The 27,349-nt window shown below is 51.6% G+C and overlaps 2 protein-coding genes across 34 annotated transcripts in view, besides 3 other annotated features; both read right to left on the bottom strand.

The window, feature by feature from the left end:
* Positions 1–6,582: 6,582 nt before the first annotated feature.
* SLC2A8 (solute carrier family 2 member 8) lies at positions 6,583–17,312 on the bottom strand. 20 transcript variants are annotated; one of them, NM_014580.5, is made up of 10 exons: positions 17,195–17,312; positions 16,943–17,105; positions 16,370–16,576; positions 14,475–14,574; positions 11,728–11,924; positions 10,678–10,821; positions 10,414–10,522; positions 9,490–9,663; positions 8,916–9,061; positions 6,583–7,369 (listed from the first exon to the last, which is right to left on the bottom strand). In NM_014580.5, the coding sequence occupies exons 1-10, from the start codon at positions 17,248–17,250 to the stop codon at positions 7,232–7,234; spliced, it is 1,434 nt and encodes a 477-aa protein (NP_055395.2). In that variant the 5' UTR covers positions 17,251–17,312; the 3' UTR covers positions 6,583–7,231. The 20 variants fall into 20 exon arrangements, 19 of the variants coding, with proteins under 19 accessions (NP_055395.2, XP_011516904.1, XP_047279239.1 ...); XM_011518602.3 differs by having other exon boundaries at positions 10,678–10,743; XM_006717084.4 differs by having other exon boundaries at positions 6,813–7,045.
* Positions 7,532–8,098: an enhancer, noted in NCBI's record as "H3K4me1 hESC enhancer chr9:130168662-130169228 (GRCh37/hg19 assembly coordinates)". NCBI's record gives its function as "activates a minimal SCP1, AML or CMV promoter by ChIP-STARR-seq in naive H9 embryonic stem cells {active_cell/tissue: H9 hESC(naive)}" and the evidence as "EXISTENCE:reporter gene assay evidence [ECO:0000049][PMID:30033119]".
* Positions 16,449–16,578: a silencer, noted in NCBI's record as "silent region_20303". NCBI's record gives its function as "represses an Ori minimal core promoter by ATAC-STARR-seq in GM12878 lymphoblastoid cells {active_cell/tissue: GM12878}" and the evidence as "EXISTENCE:reporter gene assay evidence [ECO:0000049][PMID:35858748]".
* Positions 16,889–17,428: a silencer, noted in NCBI's record as "silent region_20302". NCBI's record gives its function as "represses an Ori minimal core promoter by ATAC-STARR-seq in GM12878 lymphoblastoid cells {active_cell/tissue: GM12878}" and the evidence as "EXISTENCE:reporter gene assay evidence [ECO:0000049][PMID:35858748]".
* GARNL3 (GTPase activating Rap/RanGAP domain like 3) overlaps positions 20,821–27,349 on the bottom strand; it is a 169,048-nt gene continuing 162,519 nt past the window's right edge. For 13 of the 14 annotated variants that reach the window (XM_047423963.1, XM_011519086.4, XM_005252268.3 and 10 more), the window contains 4 exons: positions 27,150–27,288; positions 25,362–25,577; positions 23,714–23,840; positions 20,821–21,398 (listed from right to left, as the gene is read on the bottom strand). In XM_047423963.1, coding sequence (XP_047279919.1) covers positions 21,227–21,398; positions 23,714–23,840; positions 25,362–25,577; positions 27,150–27,288 — 654 coding nt within the window. In that variant the 3' untranslated portion in view covers positions 20,821–21,226. The remainder of the gene's footprint in view (positions 21,399–23,713; positions 23,841–25,361; positions 25,578–27,149; positions 27,289–27,349) is intronic. The other variant, NR_104591.2, reaches the window with a different exon arrangement.

The following is a 27,349-nucleotide window of genomic DNA, read 5'->3' as shown; positions in this document are numbered from 1 at the left end:
CACCCAGGGGAGGTGGTACTTGCCACCCCGGTGGGGGGGGGGGTGGTACTTGCCACCAAGGTGAAGGATCAAGGCAGGCGTCCCCATGGTAATCAGACACCTCTAGAATGTGGGTGAATGATCAGGCAGGCATCCCCGCAGTGATTAAACACCAAGGGAAGACTTGTCTTCCCAAGTCCATGACGGGCGCCGGCATTTTTGGTTCACAGATAAAACGTGTCTCGGGCCGGGCGCGGTGGCTCACGCCTGTAATCCCAGCACTTTGGGAGGCCGAGGCAGGTGGATCATGAGGTCAGGAGATCGAGACCATCCTGGCTAACACAGTGAAACCCCGTCTCTACTAAAAATACAAAAAAAAAAATTAGCCGGACATGGTGGCGGGCGCCTGTAGTCCCAGCTACTCGGGAGGCTGAGGCAGGAGAATGGCGGGAACCCAGGAGGTGGAGCTTGCAGTGAGCCAAGATGGCACCACTGCACTCCAGCCTGGGTGACAGAGCAAAACTCTCTCAAAAAAAAAAAAAAAAAAAAAAAAAGCGTCTCCTCTGTTTCTACTGGAAAAGGAAAGGAACTGAAATTAAGGGAAGGGAGAGACTGAAGGGTGGCGCCGAAATTGAAAGGAGAAAGAGGTTGAGGGATAATGAGAGAGGTTGGAGAAGAGTAAAAAGAGGCCGCTTACCCGATTTAAAATTGGTGAGGTGTTTCTTGGTCTGGTCTGAGGACCCGAGCTTGTGGGTGGATTTTTCTCATGGAGCAAAGAGCAGGAGGACAGGGGATTGATCTCCCAAGGGAGGTCCCCCGATCCGAGTCACGGCACCAAATGTCATGCGTGTCCGTGTGAAGAGACCACCAACAGGCTTTGTGTGAGCAATAAAGCTTTTTAATCACCTGGGTGCAGGCAGGCTGAGTCCATAAAAGGAGTCAGCAAAGGGAGATGGGGTGGGGCACTTTTATGGGATTTGGGTGGGCAGTGGAAAATTATAGTCAAAGGGGGTCGTTCTCTTACGGGCAGGGGTAGGGGTCACAAGGTGCTCAGTGAAGGAACTTCTGAGCCAGGAGAAGGAATTTCACAAGGTAATGTCATCAGTTAAGGCAGAAACTGGCCATTTTTCACTTCTTTTGTGATTCTTCAGGCTATCTGGATGTATACGTGCAGGCTTGGGCTCAGAGGCCTGACAGTTACATGACTGTATACATTTGTCATAAGTCATTAAATTTTATACTTACAATTATTGAATTTTACTTAAGTAAATAATGCCTCAATCAAAGCTGGTTTTTTTTGTTTTTTGTTTCTTTTGGAGACAGAGTCATGCTCTGTCACCCAGGCTGGAGTACAGTGGTGTGATCTCAGCTCACTACAACCTCCTCCTTCCAGGTTCAAGCAATTCTCCTGCCTCAGCCTCCCAAATAGCTGGAATTAGAGGCATGCACCACCACGCCTGGCTAATTTTTGTATTTTTAGTAGAGACAAGGATTTGCCATGTTGGCCAGGCTGGTCTCGAACTCCTGACCTCAAATGATCCGCCCACGTTGGCCTCCCAAAGTGTTGGGATTTCAGGTGTGAGCCACTGTGCCCAGCCTAAAGCTGATATTTAAAAAGTGAAAATATGTATCCTTAGAGAAATTCAAACAGGCAAGCCATTAAAAAGAAGAGCACAGGATGCTACGAAAAAGGCACAGGTTTAGAAGACACCAAGGAAACCAGGAAAATTAAAAAAATAATAATAAATAAAATAAAAAGGCACAGGGAATAAGACAATATTAGAAATTACTGCCAAAACAGAGTGGCGATTTTCATGTCAGACAGGGTCAGACCTCAGAACAAGGGGCAGTACCAGGGATAAAGAGGACCATTTCCTAAAGATAAAGGATGGAGCAGTCAGGAGAACGGTACAATCCTAAATGCACAGGTGCCTAAGAGCAGAGCTCCAAAGTGCCAGACAAAGGCCAACGAACTACAGAGCTGGACAATACACATGCAGAGGTGAGATTCCAACACCCTCTCTCAGTAATCGACAGAATCAGTGGACAGAAAACCTGGATTTAGAAGACATGATAGTTAATTTTATGTGTCAACCTGACAGGTCAAATATTATTCTGTAAAGGTGTTTTGGATGAAATTAACATTTGAATCAGTAGACTGAGTGAAGCGGATTGCCCCCCTCAATGTAGGTGAGCCTCATCCAATCCATGAAGGCCTGAGTAGAACGAAAGTAAGGGGAAACGCTTCCTGACTCTCTTGAGTGGGGATGACTGACAGTCTTTTCCTGCCTTCAGACTTGAACTGCAATATTGGTTCTTCCTGTATCTCCAGCCTGCTGGCCTTTGGATTGGAACTGCACCATCAGCTCTCCTGGGCCTCCAGCTGCTAACTCACCCTGCAGATCTTGTGACCTCAGCCTTCATAATCATGTGAACTGATTTCTTCTCTTTTTTTTTTTTTTTTTTTTTTTGAGACGGAGTCTCTGTTGCCCAGGCTGGAGTGCAGTGGTGCGATCTCGGCTCACTGCAGCCTCTGCCTCCCAGGTTCAAGTAATTCTCCTGCCTCCCAAGTGGCTGGGATTACAGGAGTATGCCACCATGCCCAGCTAATTTTTTTGTATTTTTAGTAGAGACAGGGTTTCATCATGTTGGCCATGCTGGTCTCGAACTCCTGACCTCAAGTGGTCTGCCTGCCTTGGCCTCCCAAAGTGCTGGGGTTACAGGCGTGAGCCACCGTGCTTGGCCATCATGTGAACTGATTTCTTATTTCTCTCTCTATGTATCTCTCTCTACATACACATACATCCCCCCCCCACACACACACACACCATTAGTTTAATCTCTGGAGAACCCTGATTAATACAGAAGACATGAAGCAGACTATTAAACAACTTGACCTAAGTGACATTTATAGAACACTCCGCCCAGCAACAGCACAGTACATATTCTTTTCAATTGCACATGGAACATTCACCAAGATAGGTCTCAATACATTTAAAAGGATCAAAATTATGTTAAACATGATTAACAAAACAGAACATTTTGTAGAAGAGCTAGAGGATTAAGTAAAAAAAAAATTCCTAGAATACGAAGACACTAAAAGAGTATATAAGTGAAAAATTGAGGGAGGATACTGTGCCAGGAAGTACAGTGTCTACTAGAAGTTTCAGAAAGAGGAAACAGAGAAAATCAGGGGCTGGGATGTGAGAATGAAGAAGTAAAAGAAGAACAAGTTCCCAGAAGAAAGTATCGAGATTCAAAATCTCATGGTATCAGAGGCGTTTGAACCAGAGCAACTTCATCTTGAGTAGGGGCGGGGTAAAATGAGGCTGAGACCTACTGGGCTGCACTGCCAATGCCAATGGTGAAGGCATTCTAAGTAATAGGATGAGATAGGAGGTCATCACAAGATACAGGTTGTAAAGACCTTGCTGATAAAACAGGTTGCGGTAAAGAAGGCAGCCCAAAACCCACCAAAACCAAGATGGCAACCAGAGTGATCTTGGTCGTCCTCACTGCCACACTCCTGCCAGCGCCATGACAGGTTACAGATGCCATGGCAATGCCAGGAAGTTACTTAATATGGTCTAAAAAAGGGTGGCATGAATAATCCGCCTCTTGTTTAGCATATAATCAAGAAATAACCATAAAAATGGGCAACCAGCAGCGCTCGGGGCTGCTCTATGGAGCAGCTTTTCTTTAGTCCTTTACTTTGCTAATAAACTTGCTTTCACTTTACTGTATGGACTCGCCCTGTCTCTACAAAAAAGAAAGAAAAAAAAAGTGACAGTAAAATAAAGGCTTTTTAGGCATGCAGAAACTCGCTCCCTCTGTACCTGTCCTGAAAAAATGACTGATATCAGACATGGTAGCCCTGTGAAGGTGTAGCCCTGCAAATTGAAATGGAATCCAAGAGGCCGGGCGCGGTGGTTCATGCCTGTAATCCCAGCACTTTGGGAGGCTGAGGTGGGCGGATCACTTGAGGTCAAGAGTTCAAGACCAGCCTGGCCAACATGGTGAAACCCCGTCTCTACTAAAAATACAAGAAGTTAGCCTGGCATGGTGGCGGGTGCCTGTAATGCCAGCTACTCGGGAGGCTGAGGCAGGAGAATCACTTGAACCCAGGAGGCGGAGGTTGCAGTGAGCCGAGATCGAGCCATTGCACTCCAGCCTGGGGAACAAGAGCGAAACCCCGTCTCAAAAAAAAAAAAAAAAAGAAAGAAAAAAGAAATGGAATCCAAGGAGCAAGGTGTGGAACCCAAGAAGCAGAGAAATTAACCCAGGAATCAATGAAACGAAAACAGCTTTGCCGCAGGTCCCCCAAAACAAGAGGTCAGAAGGAGAAAAAAATGGATTCCATGCAACAGCTAGCATTATTACAAAGGGGAAAGACCTCAGTCATATGGTGAAGAAAATGACACGTTTCTTAAGAAGGAAAAACAACAACAACAAAACTCCAGGTAAAAAAGAAATCTAATATTATCATGTCCTAAATAAGGTACAAACTCAAATCTGGCATTATTTTAATTAACTGATGTAGTATAAGAGAAAATCCATTTTATATTGCTGCTTAGAATATTCCTTTTTGAGTAACACAGGCTGACTGACATAGGATTATGTCTTTAAGTCCATTTCATTAGGTTTACAGTAACGATGTTTATATAACCATAATGTTGTGAATACTTCCTCCCCGAACTCATAAGCTCTGGGTTTTATATATTACTAACCTAAAGCCATGTATCAGTGGCTTTGCTTGAGCAAAGGATCATTTGGACCCAGAAAGCTTATTTTCAAGGCAGCTTTCAAAAAGTCAAGTGGCAGGGCAGCACTGTTCACATTTTGATGTGCACCTCCCCATCATCTCCCCTCACCTCCCCCCACCTCCCCATCATCTCCCCATCACCTACCCCCACCTCACTATCATCTCCCCCCACCTCCCCATCATCTCCCCTACCTCCCCATCACCTCCCACCTCCCCATCACCTCCCCCACTTCCCCATCACCTCTCCCACCTCCCCATCACCTCCCCCACCCCATCAGCTCCCCCCACATGACCTCCCCCACCTCATCATCTCCCCCCACCTCCCCATCGTCTACCCCACCTCTCCATCATCTCCCCCCACCTCCCCATCATCTCCCCCACCTCTCCATCATCTCCCCCCACCTCCCCATCATCTTCCTCCACCTCCCCATCATCTCCCCATCGTCTCCCCCACCTCCCTATCGTCTCCCCCACCTCCCCATCATCTCCCCCTACCTCCCCATCGTCTCCCCCACCTCCTCATCATCTCCCCCATCTCCCCATCATCTCCCCCGACCTCCCCATCTTTTTCCCCACCTCCCTATCATCTCCCCCCGCCTCCCCATCGTCTCCCCCCCACCTCCCCATCGTCTCCCCCCCACCTCCCCATCGTCTCCCCCACCTCCCCATCATCTCCCCCTACCTCCCCATCTCCCCCACCTCATCATCTCCCCGTCATCTCTCCCTACCTCCCCATCATCTCCCCCACCTCATCATCTCCCCATCATCTCCCCCACCTCCCCATCATCTCCCCCCACCTCCCCATCGTCTCCCCCACCTCCCCATCTCCCCCACCTCCCCATCATCTCCCCCAACCTCCCTATCTCTCCTACATGCTTGCTTTGGCCCATGTTAAGCTTCAGTCTGAAGCTCCAGTCGGTGGCAAGAGGGCAGCCAGAGCCCCACATCCATAACCTCCAGGCACAAAGCTGGTGGAAAGAGAATATATCTCTAATGATTTTTATTTTATGTATGTATGTATTTTTGAGACAGAGTCTCACTCTGTCCCCCAGGCTGGAGTGCAGTGGCACGATCTTGGCTCACTGCAACCTCTGCCTCCTGGGTTCAAGGGATTCTCTCACCTCAGCCTCAGCGAATTCTCTTGCCTCAGCCTCCTGAGTAGCTGGGATTACAGGCATGTGCCACCACGCCCGGCTAATTTTCTATTTTTAGCAGAGACGAGGGTTTCACCATGTTAGTCAGGCTGGTCTTGAACTCCTGACTCCACACGCCTTGGCCTCCCAAAGTGTTGGGATTACAGGCGTGAGCCACCGTGCCCTGTTCCCTTTTGTATTTTACTTTTATTGTTAAATGGTTTACAAAAGCACATACAATTTTATACCAGTCTGGAAAAAAAAGTGCTTGATAAATTGCTACTATTGCTTCATTGAGATGCAAAAAGCAATATGGTTCTCACCCGATTAGTGGACTGCCACGCAAGCACTGGTAATGCGGATGCCGAGGTGCGTGCAGCCTCGAATTTCTGGGCTCAAGAGATCCTCCTGCCTCAGCCTCCCAAAGCACTGGGATTAAAGGTGTGAGCCACCGTGCCTGGCAGAACAAAATCCCAACAGAGATGTTATCTCTGGAAAGGGGTGGCTGTAAATAGTTTTATCATTGTTTATCCAAATAAATGAGTTAATATTTGTAAAGTGCTTAGGACAGTGCATAGCAGCTGGTTAACAGCTATAAAAATGATATTAAATCTTTTTTAATTTCCCTACAATGAACACATATTAGCTAATTAATAATAAAATTATAAAAGACTTCTGGCTCCATTAAAGTCAACAGAACAAAAGGTGTTTTTTTTTGTTTTGTTTTGTTTTTTTTTGCTGTTTATTTTTTAAACTCAACAAGATTTGATGGCTGATGACCCAGGGAACTGAGCCCAAGGAAGTAGCCAGAAATGACTTCTCAGTGTGAAGGGTAAGCTTGGCTGACCATGAGCAAGTAAAGCCACAGGGTGTCCTGGGCAGTGATGGGAATAAACCCTTTTCAAACTGAGCTTGCACAAAGCCCAGAGACACTGACCTGATTTTCTGTGTCAGTCTTTATTTGGCAAACAAATTTCCTTCCCGATAAGGCAGCCGCGTGAGAGGAGCGACTGAATGCCCAGCACCCAACCTCCAAAAGCACCTCCAGCCAGAAGACAAAGATCCTAGAGGCCCACCTCCTCTTCCGCTGCTTTAGTCTTGCGCATGGAGGGCTGACCGCAGGTCTGCAAAGCTCGAAGGTGTTCCTGAGTCCTCAGAGCAGCAGCAGGAGCTGGAACAGGAGGCAGTGAGCCTCCTAGCCCCGGGTCATGGGCTGGAGGGAGCATGACAGGAAGGAGGGACCCTGCAGACCAAGGCTCCAAGGGGCTGGATTCTGGCTCCCCTGGGGCAGGCAGGGGCTCTGGGCTTGGGCCCAGCTTGGAGTCACAGGCTTGCTCCATCCCCTAGTGAGTGGCTGTCATCGCCCCTCAAAATGGGCTGTGATTTGTTCCAGAGTCTTTCCTTTAGTTTCAGGGACACAGAACAAAGTGAAAAGGACACTGAAGATGCAGAAAGCGGAGGCAAGCCAGAAGGCTCCATAGGGCCTGAGGACCTCCTGCAGAGAGAGGAAAGGCCATGGGTGGACGCGGGGAGAGATCAGGAAGCCCCACGCGATCACTGAGACAGCTCTGCCACCAGGGGGTCCAGTCCCCTGACCCCAGCCTGCCCTGCCCAAGGCCACACCCATTTTATCTCCACCCAGCTCTGGGACATGGAGGATAGTCTGGCATCCAGTCTGGTGGCTTGGGCCGAGCACTGTCCAAGATACCGAGGTCGTATGGCTGGGGAAACTGAGGCTCACAGCAATGAAGTGACTGCCTCAAGGCCAGAGACCCGCTATCCAGTGACAGCTGGGCTCCTGTTCCAGGTCTGACTCCAGGGCCCACAGACCAACCCTCCACCCTCAGCTTTGGCCCCACCCTGAGGCCCCCGGTGGGTTCTTTCATAGTGTGGTGGAAATGGGTGAGACAGGGCAAAGCGAGCATGGCCCCAGGAGCACATGGGGCCTTCAGTCAGAACCTGTCCCTGCCATCCACCACCACTGTGACCTCCCACGTGCCAGAACTAAAAAGGTGCTTCTCAGCTCCTGGTCCTCTGGGACCTGGCGATCTCTCCCTCCTCGAAGGCCTTCTCTTGGCCTCTTGGACATTTTCTCTCCTAAAAAAGGACTGTTAGGTCCTTTGTCACCTCCTTCTTGGCTTCTTTTCCTCCTTCCTTTGCTGCGCATCCCCTCCCAGCTGCAGCAAGTAATCTCCACCCCCAGGCATCGGCCTGGCCCCCTCGATGTGCTCCCCGGGCAGTCCTGCCTAAGCGGGTCCCAAGCTCTGCACAGACTCCAGGCTGGCCCCTCATGACCCGCCCCACCACATCCTAACCCAGCCCCACTGGGGTTCATTCTCCCACCACTGCCATGGCCTTTCCCGTCCTTGTCATAAAGGGGACCCTGTCCATCTTGTTCATTGCTCTCCCTGGCGCCTTGAATGGGCCTGGACATGGCACATGCCAGGAGACCTGGAGGGCACAAATGACTGAACAAACAACCAGATCATCTACCCCAGAACTGTCTCTCTGTTGGCTGGGAAGCCCCGGGACAGGGGCCACACCTGTGCCAGTCCATCCGTGAGAAGGCAGCAACAGGATGAACTGAATTAATGCTCCCATCCGTCTTAAGAGCAAGCTGCTGTTACTCTCCTCCAGTTTCAGCCAAAGAAGCGGGCTCAGAGAAGGTAAGCATCATACCCAAGGTCACACAGCAAGGAAGTAGCCAGGGTGGGGCTGCAGCCCAGCCCTGTCAACTCTTCCCATGTAAGACCTTAGGCTCAAGGCCCGCTTTCCTGACGTTCACTAAGGGGAGAGGCCAGCTGTGCTGTCTGACTGCCAAGACAGGCAGAGGACTCCCAAGGGGTCACAGCCTGGGTTCCCCATCTGGCCTAGCCCATCTGCCTCCACGTCGCCTTGCCCAAGATGGCCAGTGGCCCAGGCATGGTGGGGCTCAGGCTGCATGTAAGGCCACGACCCTGGGTCTTCTGCAATACAAGTGGTTTTAGAAAGTGCTTCTCGGCTGACTGCACGAACGCGGTGCTGGTGGAGCCTGCCCTCACCATGAGGCTGCTGAACTCCTTGGTCACGAGAAAGGCCATGAGCCAGTTGGTGAGGACGCAGATGCCTGTCGCCACGCCCTTGACATGCAGAGGGAAGATCTCTGACATGAGGAGCCAGGGGATGGGCCCCCAGCCCACCGCAAAGCCTGTGGGAGCGAGACAGGCAAGACAGGCATCAGGGTCCGCAGGGCTGGGCTCCTCAGCTTGCTGCAGAGCCAAGAGACCCAGCTTCCCAGCCTGTGGGGCTGTGGGGTCCCGGATCCCAGTGTGGTCCCACCAGCTCCATGCTTTCCTGCCAAGGCCTCGGCCAGCCTCTTCCCTCCTCAGGCACAGGCTCTGTCTCTGAGATGGGGTCACAACGGGGCCTGCTCGAGGGCTGCTCAGGGGATTAAGTGAAAGGAACGCAGAGGGGCCTAGTTCCACAGCTGCATGTGGTCAGAGCTAGAAATGCAGAGCTTGGAACTTACGAGAGGAGAGGTGAGGCTGGGGAAGACCCCACCTGCCGGGAGCCGCCACAGCAGGGCCGGGGGGATCACCTCCCACTCCTCGCCCAGCCTCCCACAGGCCCCCTTACCGGCGATGAAGAGGCACATGCTGCCCACGGCCAGCCAGGCCAGCCCCACGCTGGCATCAACAGGCTGTGCAGAGACAGGCGCCGAGATGGCCACGTGCGAGGAGTTGCCAGGGCCACCCTGGGTCAGCTTGAAGTAGGCGCCGAAGGCACTCGTGCTGAACACCATGACCACACCTGCAGGCGGGAGGGCGGCAGTGGGCGGGGCACCCGGGGAACGGCCCAGGGCGCAGCAGCATGGCCTGGATGCCTCTGAGAGGGGCAGGCCCGGCTCCCAGAGAACGGCCAGCTTGGTGTTCTGGCACCTTGGCCGCAGAAGCCCTGACTGGGTGGCAGCCACCCCGCCTTGGACCTCAGCGAACTGCAAAAAGTTCCCGGAGCAGACCCTCTGGGCCGAGGAAATGGGAGGTACCGGCACAGAAGCAGCAGCGAGTAACCCTCAGCCCCGACGGTCGTCTTCGCAGCAGCTGCTGGGTACCAAATGTCCGTGGGCCGCAGCTCTTGCTGAAGGCCTCACGTGGATCACCTCCCACTCCTCAAAATGGTGCTGAGGGAGGCACTGCCATTACCCCCACTTCCCAGAGGGGGAGACTGAGGCTCAGAGAGGTAAAGTCACTTGTCCAAAAGGACCCACAAACTCTTGAGTCACTTCACCTTCCTGGCCCTCAGTTTTCCCGTCATAAGCTGGGGCTGTGAGAGTGCCTTCTGGTGGGTTCACCACAGAGGTTAAAGGCGTGGTGTGGGAGTGCCACTGGCATGGACAGGCCTGCAGTGAGTGCTTGGTGACAAGCTGCTGTCAAATCATGGCCGCATTAGTCCATGATGTTTGTCATCACAAATGCTCCCTGTCCTCCTCCTGCAGTGTGGTGGCCTTGGCGAAGGCCCTCCCCCGCATGGCGGGGAGGCTGCACAGGGGTGAACCCTCACCTGACAAGACCAGGAGCAGCCTCCGCCCTGCTCTGTCCATGATGAGAGCCGCCACAGCTGTGAACAGCACCTGGATGACACCCACGACGACCGAGGCCAGGCTGCTGTCCTGGGGGAGACAGAGCCCAGGCAGGTCAGGTGGGCCAGCTGAGAGCTGGGTCCCTCCCTCTCCAGGCCTGTGCTGGATGGCTGGGCCCTGGGCTTGGGGAGGAAGCTCCATCTATGTGGGGGCTGGACGAGGCAGGCCAGGCAGGGCCCTTTTACCTTGAACTTGGCCTCTTCAAAGATGGTCTCTGCATAGAACATGACGGCGTTGACCCCCGACAGCTGCTGGAAGGCCATCAGGGAGACGCCGATGATGAAGGGCTTGTAGATGCCGGGCTGCCGCAGCAGGGCCAGGTGAAAGCTCTGCTCTGACGGATACTGGCCATCAGGATTTCTCTCTCCCCTCCCGCAAGCGGCCCCCCTCTGGGGGTCTACTGTCCTAAGGCTTGGGGAGCGCTGACTCCCACGTCTTGGCTCCTCATCCCAGCACCCCCTGTGTCCTCAGGTGTGCAGACAAGTCCCAGCCTCCCCATGTGTCAGGTGAGATGACCCTCACCTGCCCAGGGCACTTCCTGATAGGTGGGGGGGAGCCACAAAGAGGTAATCTGGGCAAAGAGCAAGCTGCTGCCCTCATCCCTGCCACCACCAACACATCCAGCACCTGCCTCAGGTCTGGGCCTGGCCCTAGCTAAGCACCTCCTACAGCCCTGACCCTCCCCTCCCCACTGAACCCATCCTCCTCGCTGACCCCACCCTCCCCACTGAGCCCCCCTCCTCCCTAAGCCCCGCCTTCCTTTCCCCCACTGAGTCCCACCCAGCACTGTGAAGCAGGTGCTGACTCCCACATCACAGGTGAAGAGCTAAAGCTTAGGTGAGGGGCAGCGTGGGGGCTTCAAACCCATGCCTGGGTGACTCTAAAACCCAGACTTTTAGCCCTCTACCCTGCCTTGCAACTCCTTTGTTAAATCCAAGTCCTCAGCTCTGCCTCTGTATCCCCCACCAGGCCTGGCCATTCTCTTCCTGGGACAGTAAGGGTCAAAGCTCGGGCTTTGCTGGTGACTTTGGAGGCCAGGGCCCAGCTCCGTGGGGCTCCAGCTGTCTTGGCCTGCTCAAAGACAGGACACACTGGGCCTGTCCTCGCTGAGGGTGGAGGGTGGATAGGCACCTCCCTGTCCCCCACCCCCCAAGTGTGTGGCCTTGGGAACAGGCTGTGCTACCCTCCCGTGACTGCTGTCCCACTCCTGTCAGCTCTGCCTTCCAGCCTCTCACCTGCTCAGCCCCGATGGGGGGGTCTTCCCAGCCCTGCTCGGAGCCCCACAGGAACCGCAGGGCGGCCATGGCCTCCTGGCGCCTGTGCTGAGTCAGCAGGAAGCGCGGGGTCTCGGGCATGAAGCACATGAGAAGCAGCATGAGGGAGGGGGGCACGCAGCCCAGCACAGCCAGCCAGCGCCACTCCAGCACCCAGCCTGCGGGGGGTGGGTGGAGGAGGCTGGCGTCAGAGCCAGGGTGAGCCAGCCTGGGCCTTGCCAGCCTCAAAGACTCAGCTTCAGAGATGGGGCCTCGCTGCCTCTGCACATCTGCCCTCATGTTCGCTACTGACATTGCCATTATCACAACTGTTCATGAAGGCACATGGCACGGGCCAATCACACCAGCTGCGGAAGCGACAGTGGGTATGACAACGCGGACATTACTAGGCTGCATCCGTTCAACGAAACATTTATGTAGCCACAAAAATGAAGGATGAGGTGCTTGCTGCGTGTCCGCATGGTATGATGTGGCACCATTTGTAGAAGAGGTGGGGGAGGGAGGATAAATATGCATGTCCCTCATATGAACAGACTCTCTGAAGGCTACCAAGAAACAGGCAATGGGGACTCCCCCAGACAAGAAAGGGACAGAGGCGGAGGAAGCTTTTCACTGGACATCTCTCCACTCTGGCACTTGAGTGTTGAGTCATTTGAATGCATTATCTATTCAAAGTATACATGAAAGTAGAGAGGTGAGAGGATTTTGCTGTCTTGACGTATGAAGAACAGCATAAGTGCAGAATTACCTAGTTTTATATAAAGTTAAAAGGTTCTCTTACAAAGGGGCCCTGGAATAAATGAGTCTAGGGCATTGCTGCTCTAATTACTAATTTTTCCTAAGCCCAAGGCTTACCCATCCCTGGTTCCCAGTGGAAAAATACCTCTAAGGTAGCCATGATGTCCCTATTTTTCTTCTGTGCTGGGGGTGCAGACAATTGTTCTATGAAGTCTAGTCGTTGGAACATGATTGCCCCAATGTGAAGCAAACGTGCCACCACCATGTCACTTTGTGGAGTTATCAGAGTTCACCCACCCCAGTGGATCGAAACTCACAGAAATTGATCAGGAAAGGCAGGAGAAGCAACAAGCACATATTAAGATGAGCTGAAGATAGTGCCACGGGTGGGTGGACACCCAGTACCTGTCCCCGAAATGATGAATGTCAACACCTGCACACAGTGGGGGCTTTGGTTTACTCAGGTCTCCCAAGGTAGCCAGATCGCTGGCAGGATTCTGAATTTGTTAGGGTGGTTAAGTGGGTAAAAATGAAACACCAAAGACCTGTGTATCATCCGCCCTGACGATGCAGAGGGCTTGTGCCCTGGGCCAGGCCATAGCCCGTCAGGCCCCCGAGGCCTCCTACCCCGATGATCCCCATGGTTCTCAAGTCATCCCTTGACAATTCTCATTTGGAACCCACTGTTAGGCACTTTTCATGTGTCAATTAATTTAATGGACAGGTACTGGACTAGATGAGGTTATGCCCATTTCAAGACAGAGAAACTGAGGCTTTCAGAGGTGGTATGACTTGGCCAAGGTCACACAGCACGTAGGAGAGGCTATCCCCAAACTCAGGATGGTCAGATTTGAAGCCTGCCCTTGTTTTTTCTTTCTTTTTGAGACAGAGTCTCACTGTGTCGCCCACACTGGAGTGCAGTGGCGCGATCTCAGCTCACTGAAACCTCAGCCTTCTGGGTTCAAGCAATTCTTGTGCCTCAGCCCCCCAGGTAGCTGGGATTACAGGTGCCCACCACCACGCCTGGCTAATTTTTGTATTTTAAATAGAAATGGGTTTTCACCATGTTGGCCAGGCTGATCTCGAACTCCTGACCTCAAGTGATCCGCCCACCTCTGCCTCCCAAAGTGCTGGGATTACAGGTGTGAGCCACTGGGTCTGGCCTCTAAAGCCTGGCCTCTTTCTAATGAGAACACACCTGTCTCCTGAAGTTTCTTCATGCTGGCCCAGCTTTGCCCCTCGGGGTCCCCAGGACCCCGGCCTCCTTCACGTTGCAACTCGCCGACATGGTGAATCTGGCACTGACATTCTCAGGGGACTTGCTCAGCCCTTTACTCGCCCGGGCTGAAGATTTTTACAGGGACCCACCCACCTCTGGAGCCCTCTGGTTTGTCACTGCACAGTAAGGTACTGACCTAAGCAGTCAGCCCTTCCCACACCCCTAGAGGGGGCTTCAGGAAAGCTGAGGGTATCACCTTCTCCAGCTGTCCCTGGAACTCAGTCATAAGACACACCTATCGGCCGGGCGCGGTGGCTCACACCTGTAATCCCAGCACTTTGGGAAGCTGAGGTTTGGCGGTTCATGAGGTCAGGAGATCAAGACCATCCTGGCTAACACGGTGAAACCCCCTTTCTACCAAAAATACAAACAATTAGCCAGGTGTGGTGGCACATGCCTGTAGTCCCAGCTACTTGGGAAGCTGAGACAGGAGAATCGCTTGAACCCAGGAGGCAGAGGTTGCAGAGAGCCACCACTGCACTCCAGCCTGGGCGACAGAGCGGGACTCTGTCTCAAAAAAAAAAAAAAAAAGACTCACCTATCCCAAGGTCCCAGGAAGGCGAGCCTGGCATGTTGGGCACTGGCTATGTGACCTCAGACAAGTCCCTTGACCTCACTGAACCTCTGTTTACACATCTGTAAAATGGCCACATGACCACAAACAGGAAGCAAGAGATAATGACAACTATACCTGCCAGGTAGGCCAGGAGGATGCCGACGACGACCATTAGCTGCACACAGGAGCCGAGCAACCCCCGGACTGCTGGGTAGGCGATTTCGGAGATGTAGACCTGCCAGCAATCAGATGAGGATTTATGGCTGGGCGCAGTGGCTCATGCCTGCAATCCCAGCACTCTGGGAGGCCGAGGCGGGCAGATCACCAGAGGTTGGGAGTTTGAGACTGGCCTGACCAACAGGGAGAAACCCCATCTCTACTAAAAATACAAAATTAGCTGGGCCTAGTGGCACACATCTGTAATCCCAGCTACTCAGGAGGTTGAGGGAGGAGAATCACTTGAACCCTGGAGGTGGAGGTTGCGGTGAGCCAAGATCCCACCATTGCACTCCAGCCTGGGCAACAAGAGCGAAACTCCGAAATTTTTAAATAAAAATTAAAAAAAAAAAAAAAAAGATGAGGCTTTACTCAGGCTCCAAGAGTTCTTAAAATGGAAAGGTCTCAGCCATTCAGAGCTGAGGAAAGTCCTTGCAGGGGGTTACGGCAGGCCCTGAAGCCCCTTAGTGGAACCTGCCTAGGTGAGCAGAGCCATCCCCAGGTCCCCACCACTGAAAGATCTGTGGCAGGTGTTTAAAGGGGATTAAGGGTAACGGAGAGGGCTGCATATGATGACGAGAGGCGGTGGGCACAGAGCTTCTCAAGCCTTCGTTTAATGTGCACAGACACCCTGGATAAATCATAGATTCCGATGCAGTAGGTCTGGACAGGCGAAAGATTCCACCTTGTTAACCAGCTCCACGTGACGCCCACCCAGGATCCTAGCCCAGGGCCCACGCTTTGAGTGGTGGCCTTGGACTAGAAGCACGAACTCTCTGCCTCGGTCACTACCAGTGGCTGCCACTAGCTCCCTCCTGGGCCCACAGGCCACCAGGCCCTCACCCATGCATCTAAGGTTATTCCATAGCTTAGGCCCCTAACACAGGTGTGTTTCTGCCCAGTTAAAAAAACCAAAGACATAAAAGGCCCAGCTTCTTCCCCACCCTCTTCTGGTCCAGCTGCTGCTGCCGGTTAGCAAACGTTGGTGAAATGAGCACCCAGGGAGGGGCCTGAGTGGCTGCTTTCAACCTCACTTGGGGGAGATATTGTCCAAGCCCATGGCTGGGGGCAGTTCATGGGTCACCAAGCTGTCAGGATCCAGTCCTCTACAAGCCATGCCAGGGGCTGTCTATCCAAAGTCCCACTGAATCCTGACCACTACCTCAGGGGCTAATGCCATAATCCCTGTTTTCCAGAGAAGGAAACTGAGGCCCAGGGAGGCACTCTGCTCAGGTTAGTGGCAGAACCAGGATTTGACCCAGATGTTCGGGGCTCCCAAGTGGGCAGCCTGGGTCAGGAGGGGGAAAGGGGGAAGATGGGGAAGCCAGAGGGGCTGGCCTGTGAGAAGGGAAGGGGAACACAGAGGCCAGCAGCCTTTGCCCCAAGAGAAATCAGGACAGGAACTTCCTGCTAATTGCAGTCATTGACCCGAAGCCAGGGATGAAAACCAAAATGTAGGGAGTGGGCTCCTGTGGATCATCCGCAGGTTTGCAGAGCAAAAGAGGGGCACGGCTAAGTGGGACAACCCTGGGTTCCTGCAACTGCTTCCCCTCTGACTAGCTGTGGACCTCGCCTGGGCAAAGGACTTCACCTTTCCGAGACTGCATGTCATGACCTCAGTGTAAAATGGAGAGAACAGTAGGATCCTTCCCAGGGTCGACGGGAGGGACCGCGAGATAACGCAGGGACTTCAAGCCTGGCACCCAGAAGGTCCCGCCAGGGGGAGCCGCGCCCCCAGGCCTGGGGAGCGGTTTGTCCCACTCCCCCTCGGTCTCAGGCCGCGAGACAGGACACTCGAGAGACGGGACACTCACCGGGGCCACTAGGGAGGCAACACCGCAGGCCAGGCCGGTGAGGAGGCGGCCCCCCAGCAGCATCCACACGTCCTGGGCCGCGGTGATGACGGCAAAGCCGGCCACGAAGGGCACGGAGCACAGCAAGAGGCTCAGCTTGCGCCCGGCGCGGTCCACCAGCCAGCCGCCCAGCACTCCCCCCGCCGCGGCACCCAGGGTCACGACAGCCTGGAGGCGGGCGGCTGCTGAGGAGGGGGCGCCGAAGCCGCAGCCCATCCTCCCCCTCCACCCACTCCCCGCGGGCTCAGAGGTAAAAGAGCCGGGGCCCCGCGCCCGTCCCGAGGGGAGGGGTAGGGGGCTGAGGGGCCCGGTGCTCGTCCCGAGGGGAGGGGTGGGGGCTGAGGGGCTCGATGCCCGTCCCGAGGGAAGGGATGGGGGGCAGAGAGGCCCAATGCCTGTCTCGTGGGGAAAGGTGGTGGCGGCGGGGCCCGATGCCTGTCCCGAGGGGAAGGGTGGGGGGCGGAGGGTCCCGATGCCCGTCCCGAGAGGAGGGCGTGGGGTCCCAGGGCGGGAGGAGCGAGCCCGGGGCCTCACCCCGAACCAGGAGGCGGCGGCGTCGTCCAGGCGCGGGGCCGGGGGCGCGGCGCGCTGCAGGCTAGGGATGGCCGGGGAGCTGTAGCCGAGCGCGAAGCCGAAGCTGAGTGGGCCCAGGGCAGCGGCGAAGGCGGCGAGGAAGACGCGGCGGCCGCGGGGCGCGCTGGGGGGACAGGGCCGAGGGTGAGCGGAGCGGACGCGGAGGGGCGGGAGGGCGAGGCCGCATCCGGGCCCGGGTTCCCCGGAGCTCACCTGCCGCCAGGAGGCCCCAGAAGCGGCTGGGTTTCCTCTGGGTCCTCGGGCGTCATGTCGGCGGCCAACGCCGATCGGCCAGCTCTGGCGCCTGAACCGCCACGGGCCCTGCGAGTGCGGCCCGCACCGGCCTCTCGCAGCCAATGGGCGGCGGGGGGTGGGGGACGGTGCTGGGCGGGATCGGAACCGCAGAGCAGGAGCAGCCAATAGGAACGCAAGGCGGGGCTAGCGAATCAGCTAGGACCCGCCCTTCACATTAAAGCAGACCAATGGGAGCATAGAACCGATTAGCGAAGCGCGCTGGAACCGCCCCTAGGGCGGAGCGGTCCAAGGTACAGGTGGGGCGGAGTTTCCGTCTGGGAGAACAACCACCCAATTGGAGTGTAGTGCGAGCCCATAGACGGGGCCAGAGAGCTGCCTCAGAACTGAGCTGGCCAATGAGGTTGGAGGGAGGAGTTTTTTTTCTGGCACCTCCTCTCAATCTGGCTTCAACCAATGAGGGTAGAGGCGGGGCGAAGGCGAAGCACGTGGGCCTCAGCCCGAGACTTCCCGCCCCCAACTCCGAGAAGCTGCACCTGTCCTGCCCGGTCGGGTCTGCAGTTCCTGCTCCGCTTTAATCGCTGCCCTGGGGACTGTATTGGAGGCGTCTGACCTATGCCTGGGCCCAGCTCTGCAGGGGAGAGAGCCTCTAAGCAGACCGTCCTGGGCCGCCTCTCTCTCCTCTCGGAGGGCGAGACTGGTCAGACGCTCCCGCTGGGCTGCTGGCGGCGGAGGCGTGGCCCTGTGCACCGAAACCCACTTTCATGCTTCCCAGATTGCTGAAGGCTCGGGTCTCCAGGTGCTGAGGACCAGTGGTAGGTGGGGTCCCCCACGCCGTATGTGTGACAGATCTGGGCTCCACTCCCCCTCTTAAGTGTCACTCACTTCACAGGGAGTCCTGACTCTTGAATCTTCATCTACCTGCCTCCATATTTTGAGTTCCCTGTGGATTTTAATGCCACCTTCTCCCGTGTGCACCCAAGTCGAATGATGAGGCACTGTTGGATCTCACCAGTTGTACCCGATTCATACCCAACACTCTGGGTGCAGGCAGCTGTGGTGGAATGCTGGTGTAATTCTGGAAAGAGCCAGGGCATGGGAGTAAGAGGCTTGGCTTGTAATCCCTCTCTGGGCCTTGTGTTTCCTCATCTCTAAGTGGGGATGACCATTATCTTCCAGGAGAGTTGTGAAGCAAGGTAATGTATATAAGACATGTGAAGCACTCAAAGGCTAACCGGTATGATGAAGACAGTCATCTGATATGTTGCAGTCACTTGATGGTTCTAGCAACCAACATTTTTCAGTCCTGACCACAAGCCTATCCTTAAAGACTTAGGCAACTGCCCTTCTGTACTCCCACAGCATCTAATGCTTGATAACTCGAGCACTAGATGTGTATTCTTATCACAGCATTTATCACTGCTTTGTGATCCCTTGTTTACTTCCGTCCTTCCCCCAATGGACATGACCTCCTCTGGAGAGGAGGCACTTGGTGTGTGCAGAGTGGATCAATGCCTCCAACTCCATAGGCAGACACTGCAGTTAGATGATTTTCTGTGTGACTCAGCCAGTCGGGTACACAGAAAGGATTATGTAGGCAGGGTGCTCCTACCCTGTGGCCGATGGCTTCCCTTCCCGTGAGTGTGCAGAACTCACTTCTTGGCCTTTGTAGACAAATAATGTTGCCAGAACAGCCTCCTGCCCCCTTTTCATAGGCAAAGCACCATCAGCCTGATCAGTAGGGTCCACCTCTTGCCCTTGCTACATCACTCCTCAGACCTGTGACTCTTGTCAAATTGTGGGTGGCTCTAATGCTGCTGATTTGGAAGAATGCTCTAAAATAGTCCTTGGGTTTTTTTTATGCTACACTGTGAAGCAAGAAACTTCCAGAAAAAAAGGAAAAACACAGATACAAGCTCATAAAGCTTACAAATTAGTTTAACATGAAAAACACCAGCCAGATCCAGCTGACACAAGGCACTGAGCCTGGCTCTGCATGGCAGACGTGGGGAAAGCAAGGGCTCTGGAGTCAAAGAACTTGCAGGTTCAAACCATTGCCCCTTCCTAAGCCTATTTCCTTATTTGAAAAGCAAGAATAATAAAACATAATTCATTAAACTGTTGGTGGGGTTGAGACACAGTGTTTTTTTCCCCCTATATAGGAAAAGGGCATAAAACACACAAAGGAAGAATGGGCATGCTAACTGCTGCAAAGAATATGAGCAGACACATTTGGTTATAAACAGCCCCATCTGGGTATACCTAAAAAGCACTGTCTTTACTACTCTTGACTCTTGCCTTCTGCCAAAGATGAACCAAGCAACCTTCAGCTTGGGCTATCATGCTGATCTGTTTGTACAAAAGACAGAGAGGGGAACTTTCCCCACAGTGTGCAAGGCCCACTAGGAGGTACGACCCAAACTTCTATAAAATCTGTCAGACCAAGGTCCTGTCAAACTCAGTTCTCCACACTCACAAAGAAGGCCTGCTGGCCGGGCATAGTGGCTCACACCTATAATCCCAGCATTTTGGGAGGCCAAGGTGGGCGGATCACGAGGTCAGGAGTTCGAGACCAGCCTGGCCAACATGGTGAAACCCCATCTCTACTAAAATACAAAAATTAGCTGGGTGTGGTGATGCGTGCCTGTAATCCCAGCTACTTAGGAGGCTGAGGCAGCAGAATGGCTTGAACCTGGGAGGTGGAGGTTGCAGAGAGCCGAGATCGTGCCACTGCACTCCAGCCTGGGCAATAGAGTAAGACTCTGTCTAAAAAAAAAAAAAAAAAAAAGCCTGCAGAAGAACTCTTCTGAGCTGCTTTAACGGGGTAACAGGAAGTTTCCTTTGATGAATAATGTAATAATATAAGTAGGAAGAGACAGAATAAAATTGAATTGGCTAGACTAAAGCCAAAGGTAAAATACCTTCTTCACACAGATTAAAATATTTGCAAACAATGCTAGTGAAACTGGATCTCCCCTTGGCTAGTGGCTGAGATTTCACTATTTCTTTTGCACTTGGCCCAGTCCACATTTCTTTCTGTTCACACTGGAGAGGGAGCCAGGAAAGGCAGATAAACCAAATTATTATCTTCATATCATTTATGTGAAAGAGTGAGGGGGACTCAAAAAGAAGGAGGAGTTTGAAAATGCTTTCTTTTTTTTTTCTTTTCTTTTCTTTTTTTTTTTTTTTTTTTTGAGACAGGGTCTCCCTCTGTTGCCCAGACTGGAGAACAGTGGTGCAATCTTAGCTCACTGCAGCCTTAAACTCCTGGGCACAAGGGATCCTTCCACCTTGGCCTTCCAAAGCACTGGGATTACAATGAGAATACTTTTAACCACAAGGAGTAGCTGTTCTCTGGTTACATTATTGCAGAGTAACAATAAAACCACACAAAATAATCTGAAGACTTTTGACAAGCTCCTATGCCTTAATATTTTTCATGAGATGCAGGGAAGAAGGAGGAGCTTCTAAGATCTAACCATTCAACTTTTCTCAAAAGTCTACAGGCAGGAATGCAGCTGGTTCCAATCACGGTGAACTGAAACAGCAACCGGGGCCAAAGGTGCAGAAAAAAAACTTACTTATAATAAAGTTAAAAAGCAACGACTTTTCTTTATAAAAGAAACACATTATGTGACATAAATCAAAACTGTAATGAAAAAATAATTTTCCATCTAAGTATATAAAATATGAGAAGGTTGCAGTAAATAAGAATGAGTATTTTTGATTTATTCAAAGTTTCAATCTAAAACCTCAATGAAATCTACCACCTTTATTACAAGGGGACTGATGGTTCCTGAACAGAAAGAAACAAAGGTCAGGAAAGATGGCACCGGACATTGGAGAGGGAACTGGCCGAGTGTGCAGAAGGTTTGGTCCAATAGATCACTGACAGGCTAAAAGCCACATTTTGTTGAGAAATTACATCAGAACTGTTTAAAGAGTATAAACCTCCATAAGAAAACTAAAGATGGCAAATGAGATTCAACTCTGTTACTTCAAGTCTATAATGTCTTCATCGGAGAAAGCCGTGAGCTGGAAGGGGCTGCTGCCGGAGACCGGGCTGCCCTCTCTGTCTGCCACAGGGTCCTGGTCAGAGCTGGCTGAGTGCCCCTCAGGGTTGGCTTCGGAAGTAGAAGCACTTTCCAAGGAGCCTGATGGGATCCTAGAAGAGAAAAGTCACTGTAAGAGGATCTTTGGGAGTACCACAGAACTGGGCCTATTTTTTTCTGGCAATTTCCTGCTCATCTGAGCTCATGAGTTTGGCTCACCAAACCCTCACTGTTATGTGGTAGAGGTGGGGAAGTGCTGGAATGCCACCCCCATCACCTCAGGGGGTTTTGAGGATTAAAGGCCGAGTGTGTGACACATGGAAGGTGTTTGTGAGGCATTATTTACCTACCTTTCTAAAGTGCAAATCCAGATAATGTCATCCTGCCTAAAACCCTCCCATGGGTGCCCAGGGCCTGAGGATCAGGCTGAAACTCATAGCCAAGGTTCCGGGACTAGGCCTGTGATCCCTCCAGCCTCCCAGGGCACCCCTGACTCCCTCTGTTTCCTCCAGCTCCTCAGGACTCTCTCAATAGCTGCATATTAATTTGACCAATATTGGTTTCCACTTCTCAGAGAGTTAATGCATTCCACAAATACTCATTGGCCTGCAAAAGCCCACCTGGCTCAGCTGCTGCCCACTCTCGGCCTCACACAGTTCCTGGCTCCGTTCTCTATGCTCAAGCCTGTCCACTCTTCCTCCTGCCTTTTAACTGGCCATGCTAGGCCTGCTTCGGGGCCCTTGCCCTGAGGTAGTTGCTGTCAGAAGGGCTGTTCCCCTAGCTTCTTACCGTTTATTCCAAGCCCAGCCCAATGCTACTTCCTCAAAAAGCTTTCCTTGACCCCTCTCTCAGAGTAGACCTTCTATGTGCCAGCCCCGTCACTTCTTCTCAATTTCTTGTAGCACTTGTCACTATTTGAAATGATTTTATTTGCTTACTTGTTTACAGGTTGGCTGTCTGTTTTCCCACACTAGAATGCAAAGTCCCTGAGGGCAGGGGCCTTGTCAGGTTATGACTTCTGAGAGGAGGCTCAGCCTCCCCTGATGTTTGAGACCCTCCCTGCCCCAGGTGTGGGCTGGATGGCAACCCTCCTTACACATCACCTGCCATGCTGGAATGCAGTCATTTTCTGGACGCTTGTTGGTCTTTGCCACTGGCCTGGGAACCCCTTGAAGGCACAGGTGGGGGCTTAGTCCTTTCCATATCTTAATACCCAACTAAGTCCTAGGTGCTCCAAGAATGTGTGTTGAGTGAATGAATGAAGCTTGGACATACGAACTATCACTCCCCACACTGGAGCACGTGTGATGTTGCTTGAAGGATAACAGAGATCTTACAGGACAAATCAGTGTGACTTAACTACTATTCATTGACGTGTGATGCTGACCTGGCATTCGGATAGGCTGGACTGTGTATGTGCTACCAGTACTGCATTACTGCATAGAGAGCACCTGTTTCCCTGCAGTCTTACTAAGTGTTTTTTTTTTTTTTTTTTGACACGGGGTCTTGCTCTGTTACCCAGGCTGGAGTGCAGTGGTGTGATCATGGCTCATTGCAGCCTTGACCTCCCAGAAGGAAGGTGATCTTTCTACCTTAGCCTCCCAAGTAACTGGGACTACAGGCTCATGCCACCAGACCCAGCCTATATATATATATATATATTTTTTTTTTGTAGAGATGGGTCTTGCTGTGTTGCCCAGGCTGGGATTGAACTCTTGGGCTCATGTGACCTTCTCTTCTCATCCTCCCAAAGTGTTGGGATTACAGGCATGAGCCACCATGCCTAGCCAGCATTTTTATTTTAAAAACTCTCTGTCAATCTGGTGAGGAAAAAGTCTCTCTCTCTCTACATATATATATAATAGATATTAAATATATAAATATAAAATATATATTATATATATATTTTTTGAGATGAAGTCTTGCTCTGTTACCCAGGCTGGAGTGCAGTGGCACGATCTTGGCTGACTGCAGCCTCCGCCTCTCATGTTCAAGCGATTCTTCTGCCTCAACCTCCCAAGTAGCTGGGACCACAGGGATGTGCCACCACGCCCGGCTACTTTTTGTATTTTTAGTAGAGATGGGGTTTCACCGTGTTGGCCAGCCTAGTCTCGAACTCCTGACCTTGGGTGATCTGCCCGCCTTGGCCTCCCAAACTGCTGGGATTAAAGGCATGAGCCACTGTGCCTGGCCAGGTCTCAATAGATTTGAATTAGCAGTTGACTGCTGGTAAGTGTGCCCATTTGTCTAGATCCCTCCCTGGCAGGCCTGAGGGTCTGGGGACCCTCAGAGAGGAACAGGCTGCTGGCCCTCTGCTGTAGCTGCCAGGGGCCACTAGTGGCATTATCAATCCCCAGAAGGGGCCTCCTGGGCAGTGCTGTGACTCATAGGTCCACCACCCCAAGCAGGGGCCTCTCCCTCTCTTTACCTGTCACTGCTAGATGACCTCACTGCCCCTGGCTTGGGGCCTCCTTGGCTTTCTTCTAACCGCTTCCGGGGTTTTGATTTGGCCTTTGGCGCTCCTTCTGACTTGGGTCCACCTTCATCCGAGAGGCCTGGATTGAGAATCATAGGTCAGAGGGTCACTACCACAGGGCTGCCACGGAGACAGAAAAGACCCTTATTTTTTCTTGGTTGGGAACTGGTGCATTGTTGTGCTAGAGTCAGGAAGAAAGATGATAGAATATATATTTTCAAATTATTGGTTTTCTGGTTGGTAGAAGGTTTTTCTTTTCTGATTATAAAGTATACACACTTTGCAAAAAAATTAGACTCAAAGAGCCTAATGAGGACAGATGATTTACAGTCCTACCGTTGATAACCCTGTAATTCTCCAATTCAGAGGTTCCGTTTTGCAAAAGCTCAGTGGTTTGTAAACAGTGGTGGGCAGATCAAGCTTTGATATGGAAGGCTGCATTAAAAATAGCAATACATTTATTTTCAAAACACAGTAGAAGGCACCAACTTGAAAAACCAATGGACTTTGTTAGTGTCTAGTCCTGCCCTGTCAGGTGGCCTGAATCCCCTCCTGCAGTTGTTCAGGGAATATTACTGCAGGGCAGGGGTGTGCCCAGGCCAACGTTCATGCAGGTCCCAGTCTAAGTTTTCAAACCAGTTTCTCCTGGTTTAACATGTCACTTCCATATTTCCTTATTTTGTTTCCACAAATCTGAACAAAAAGGTTTCTAACAGTCTAACCTTTTCACACTTATCAGGGGCTTTATGTTTCTCTGATTTGGCCTCTCATCTTTTTTTTTTTTTTTTTTTTTTTTTTAAAGACAGGGTGTCACTCTGTCACCCAGGCTGGAGTGCAGTGGTGTAATCATGGGTCCCTGTAGCCTTGACCTCCCGGACTCAATCGATTCTCTTGCCTCAGCTTCTTGAGTAGCTGGGACTATAGGCACATGCCACCATGGCTGGCTAATTTTTTTATTTTTTATAGAGATGGGGTTTCACCATGTTACCCAGGCTGGTCTTGAACTCCTGCACTCAAGTGATCTGCCTGCCTCAGCCTCTCCCAAAATGCTGAGATAACAGGTGTGAGCCCAGTCCCATAGTTATACTGAGAGAAATGAGCTCAACACATATCTTGCATCTGTTCTATCCACAGACCTGCCCCCACTGTCTAGGGCTGGGAGAAGTAATAAGGGAACTGAACACACACGTGTAAAAACATGGTACATTTCCACTTTGGGACATACCAACATAAAATGTTGTCTGAGGACTGTGGGATATAAATCCTTCTAGACACCTTTCTAGGAAATCATACATAGATTGGTACTTTTATTTTTAAAAATGGTATCAGACTAGACATAGTGTTTTATAAACTGCCCATTTCCCCCCTTCACATGGCTTGAGCAGCTTTCCACACCAATAAATATAGATCAACAACATCACTGTTGGTGGCTACATTATAGTGTATTCCTTGGTATAGAGGTATTAGAACTTACTTAAAAATCCCTTCTTAAAAGGAAACTTTCCTTTTAAACTCATTGTTTCTGAGGACAATTCATATCCAAAGATAAAACCAGCTGGTCTGTTCACAGACAGTGGAAACCAGGATTGAGAACCATTACCCAGTAGTTCCCTGCGGGTCCTGCTTGCTATTTCTTTGATCTCCATGCGAGACAGGGACAAGGAGTGCGTGACTGGAATGGCAGCAAGGCCCACACTGATGGGAGTGGGTGGGGTGATGACCTTGGAGACTAAGGGTGACTTCAGAGGTCGTTCGATGCTTCTGCCCACGAGGTTTCTAAGTGGAATCTTGTACAGATTTTTTGATTGAATTTCACCTGAAATGTGATTTCAAAAAGAACATCAGAACTTTAAGAAAAGTGCACATTATTTACAAGAGAGTAATTTCTTGTTCCTTAACATAGCATGAAGGAAGACGTTATGTCACACACTGATCTGTAATGTCCCACTGGGAGGGCTGGCCAGGAGCACTGATTTGAGGGTGCCTGATGGCTTTGCGTTTTCTAAGAGCATTTTCATGTGTAAATTAGGTAAAATGCACTCGTGACTGCACAGGAAAAAAGACTAGACAAGAAAAGCAAAAAGCTGCCCTGCTTGGGGAATTCTGTGCTTTATCTTAACTGCGTGCAATAAAGATGAGTGATGTGGTAAGAATTTATGAAAAGCGCTGTGTTCAAAGCGATGAGGTAACCACAGCAGAGGCCTCTGGGGTTTGCGGGCAAAGCCAGATAGAGTGAAAGACTGCATGTGCTGGGGAATGTCTAGGCTTGATGACTCTATTCTTTTAGCTTTCAAAACCCACTACTGTTAACAGCCCTGAAGGAAAAATAACTGCTGTTGCAAGTTGGAAACTCTATAGCCTTTAACTCCCTCCTCCCCACTGAAACTTTTTTTTTTTTTTTTTTGAGACAAGGTCTTGTTCTGTCGCTCAGGCTGGAGTGCAATGATGCAATCATGACTTACTGCAGCCTTGACCTCCCAGGCTCAAGTGATCCTCCCACCTCAGTCTCCTGAGTAGCTGGGACCACAGGTGCATGCCACCACAGCCAGCTAATTTAATTTTAGTTTTTGTAGAGACAGGGTCTCTCACTCTGTTGCCCAGGCTGGAGTGCAGAGGTGCAATCCCGGCTCAATGCAGCCTTGACCTCCGCTGCTCAGGTGATCCTCCCACCTCAGCCTCCCAAGTAGCTGGGACTACAGGCACATGTTACCATGCCCAGCTAGTTTTTGTATTTTTTTTTAGAGACAGGGTTTTGCCATGTTGCCCAGCTGGTCTTGAACTGCTGGGCTCAAGCGATCCATCTGCCTCAGCCCGCCAAAGTGCTGGGATTACAAGTGTGAGCCACAGCGCCTAGCCCAGTTTATTTATTTATTTATTATTTTTATAATGGAGTTTTGTCGTTGTTATCACCAGGTTTCTTAAGAACACAACCATGTATTCAGACTGCAAGATTTCTTTCTTTTTTTTTTTTTTTTTGTAGACAGAGTCTCGCTCTATCGCCCAGGCTGGAGTGCAATGGCGTGCTCTCGGCTCACTGCAACATCCACCTCCCAGGGTCAAGTGATTCTCCTGCCTCAGCCTCCCAAGTAGCTGGGATTACAGGTGTGTGCCACCACACCCGGCTAATTTTTGTATTTTTAGTAGAGATGGGGTTTCACCATGTTGGTCAGGCTGGTCTTGAACTCCTGGCCTTAGGTGATCCGCCCGCCTCAGCTTCCCAAAGTGCTGGGATTATAGGGGTGAGCCACCACGCTCAGCTAGTTTCTTTTTTTAATGGCTTTAAATAGTAACTTCTTTAAACAGTAATCACATGTAGATATTAGACAACAAACTAGAGAAATTAGAGTGAATTACAAATATTAATAAAACAGTAAAACTTGGACTTCACCTTCCCCCAGGGAAGAAGGAAATACTGGAGTATCTCGGCCCGGGGGTGTCTGAGGAGAATTTCGGGCACTGGCCCCCTTGGAGCTGCCTCCAGATGAGACCTCATTCACAGCTGCAGTTGCTGTGAAGTATATATCCGACTAGAAAGGAAGAGAGAGCATTACCGGGCTGCCTGGTGTTCTAGGCCTTGCATCCACTGGC

Source organism: Homo sapiens, chromosome 9 (genome assembly GCF_000001405.40).
Source record: "Homo sapiens chromosome 9, GRCh38.p14 Primary Assembly".
NCBI lineage: Eukaryota > Metazoa > Chordata > Mammalia > Primates > Hominidae > Homo > Homo sapiens.
This window is presented reverse-complemented; position numbering and strand designations above follow the sequence as displayed.

Excerpts from the sequence above, each read along its gene's own strand:
- SLC2A8 (XM_047423283.1), bottom strand. The coding sequence starts at position 17,250 with ATGACGCCCGAGGACCCAGAGGAAACCCAGCCGCTTCTGGGGCCTCCT. Across the intron at positions 14,575-16,369 it reads TTGCCTCCCTAGTGGCCCCG|GTCTACATCTCCGAAATCGC; the intron begins GTGAGTGTCCCG and ends GATTGCTGGCAG. Across the intron at positions 7,370-8,915 it reads AGGAGTTCAGCAGCCTCATG|GAGGTCCTCAGGCCCTATGG; the intron begins GTGAGGGCAGGC and ends CTCTCTCTGCAG.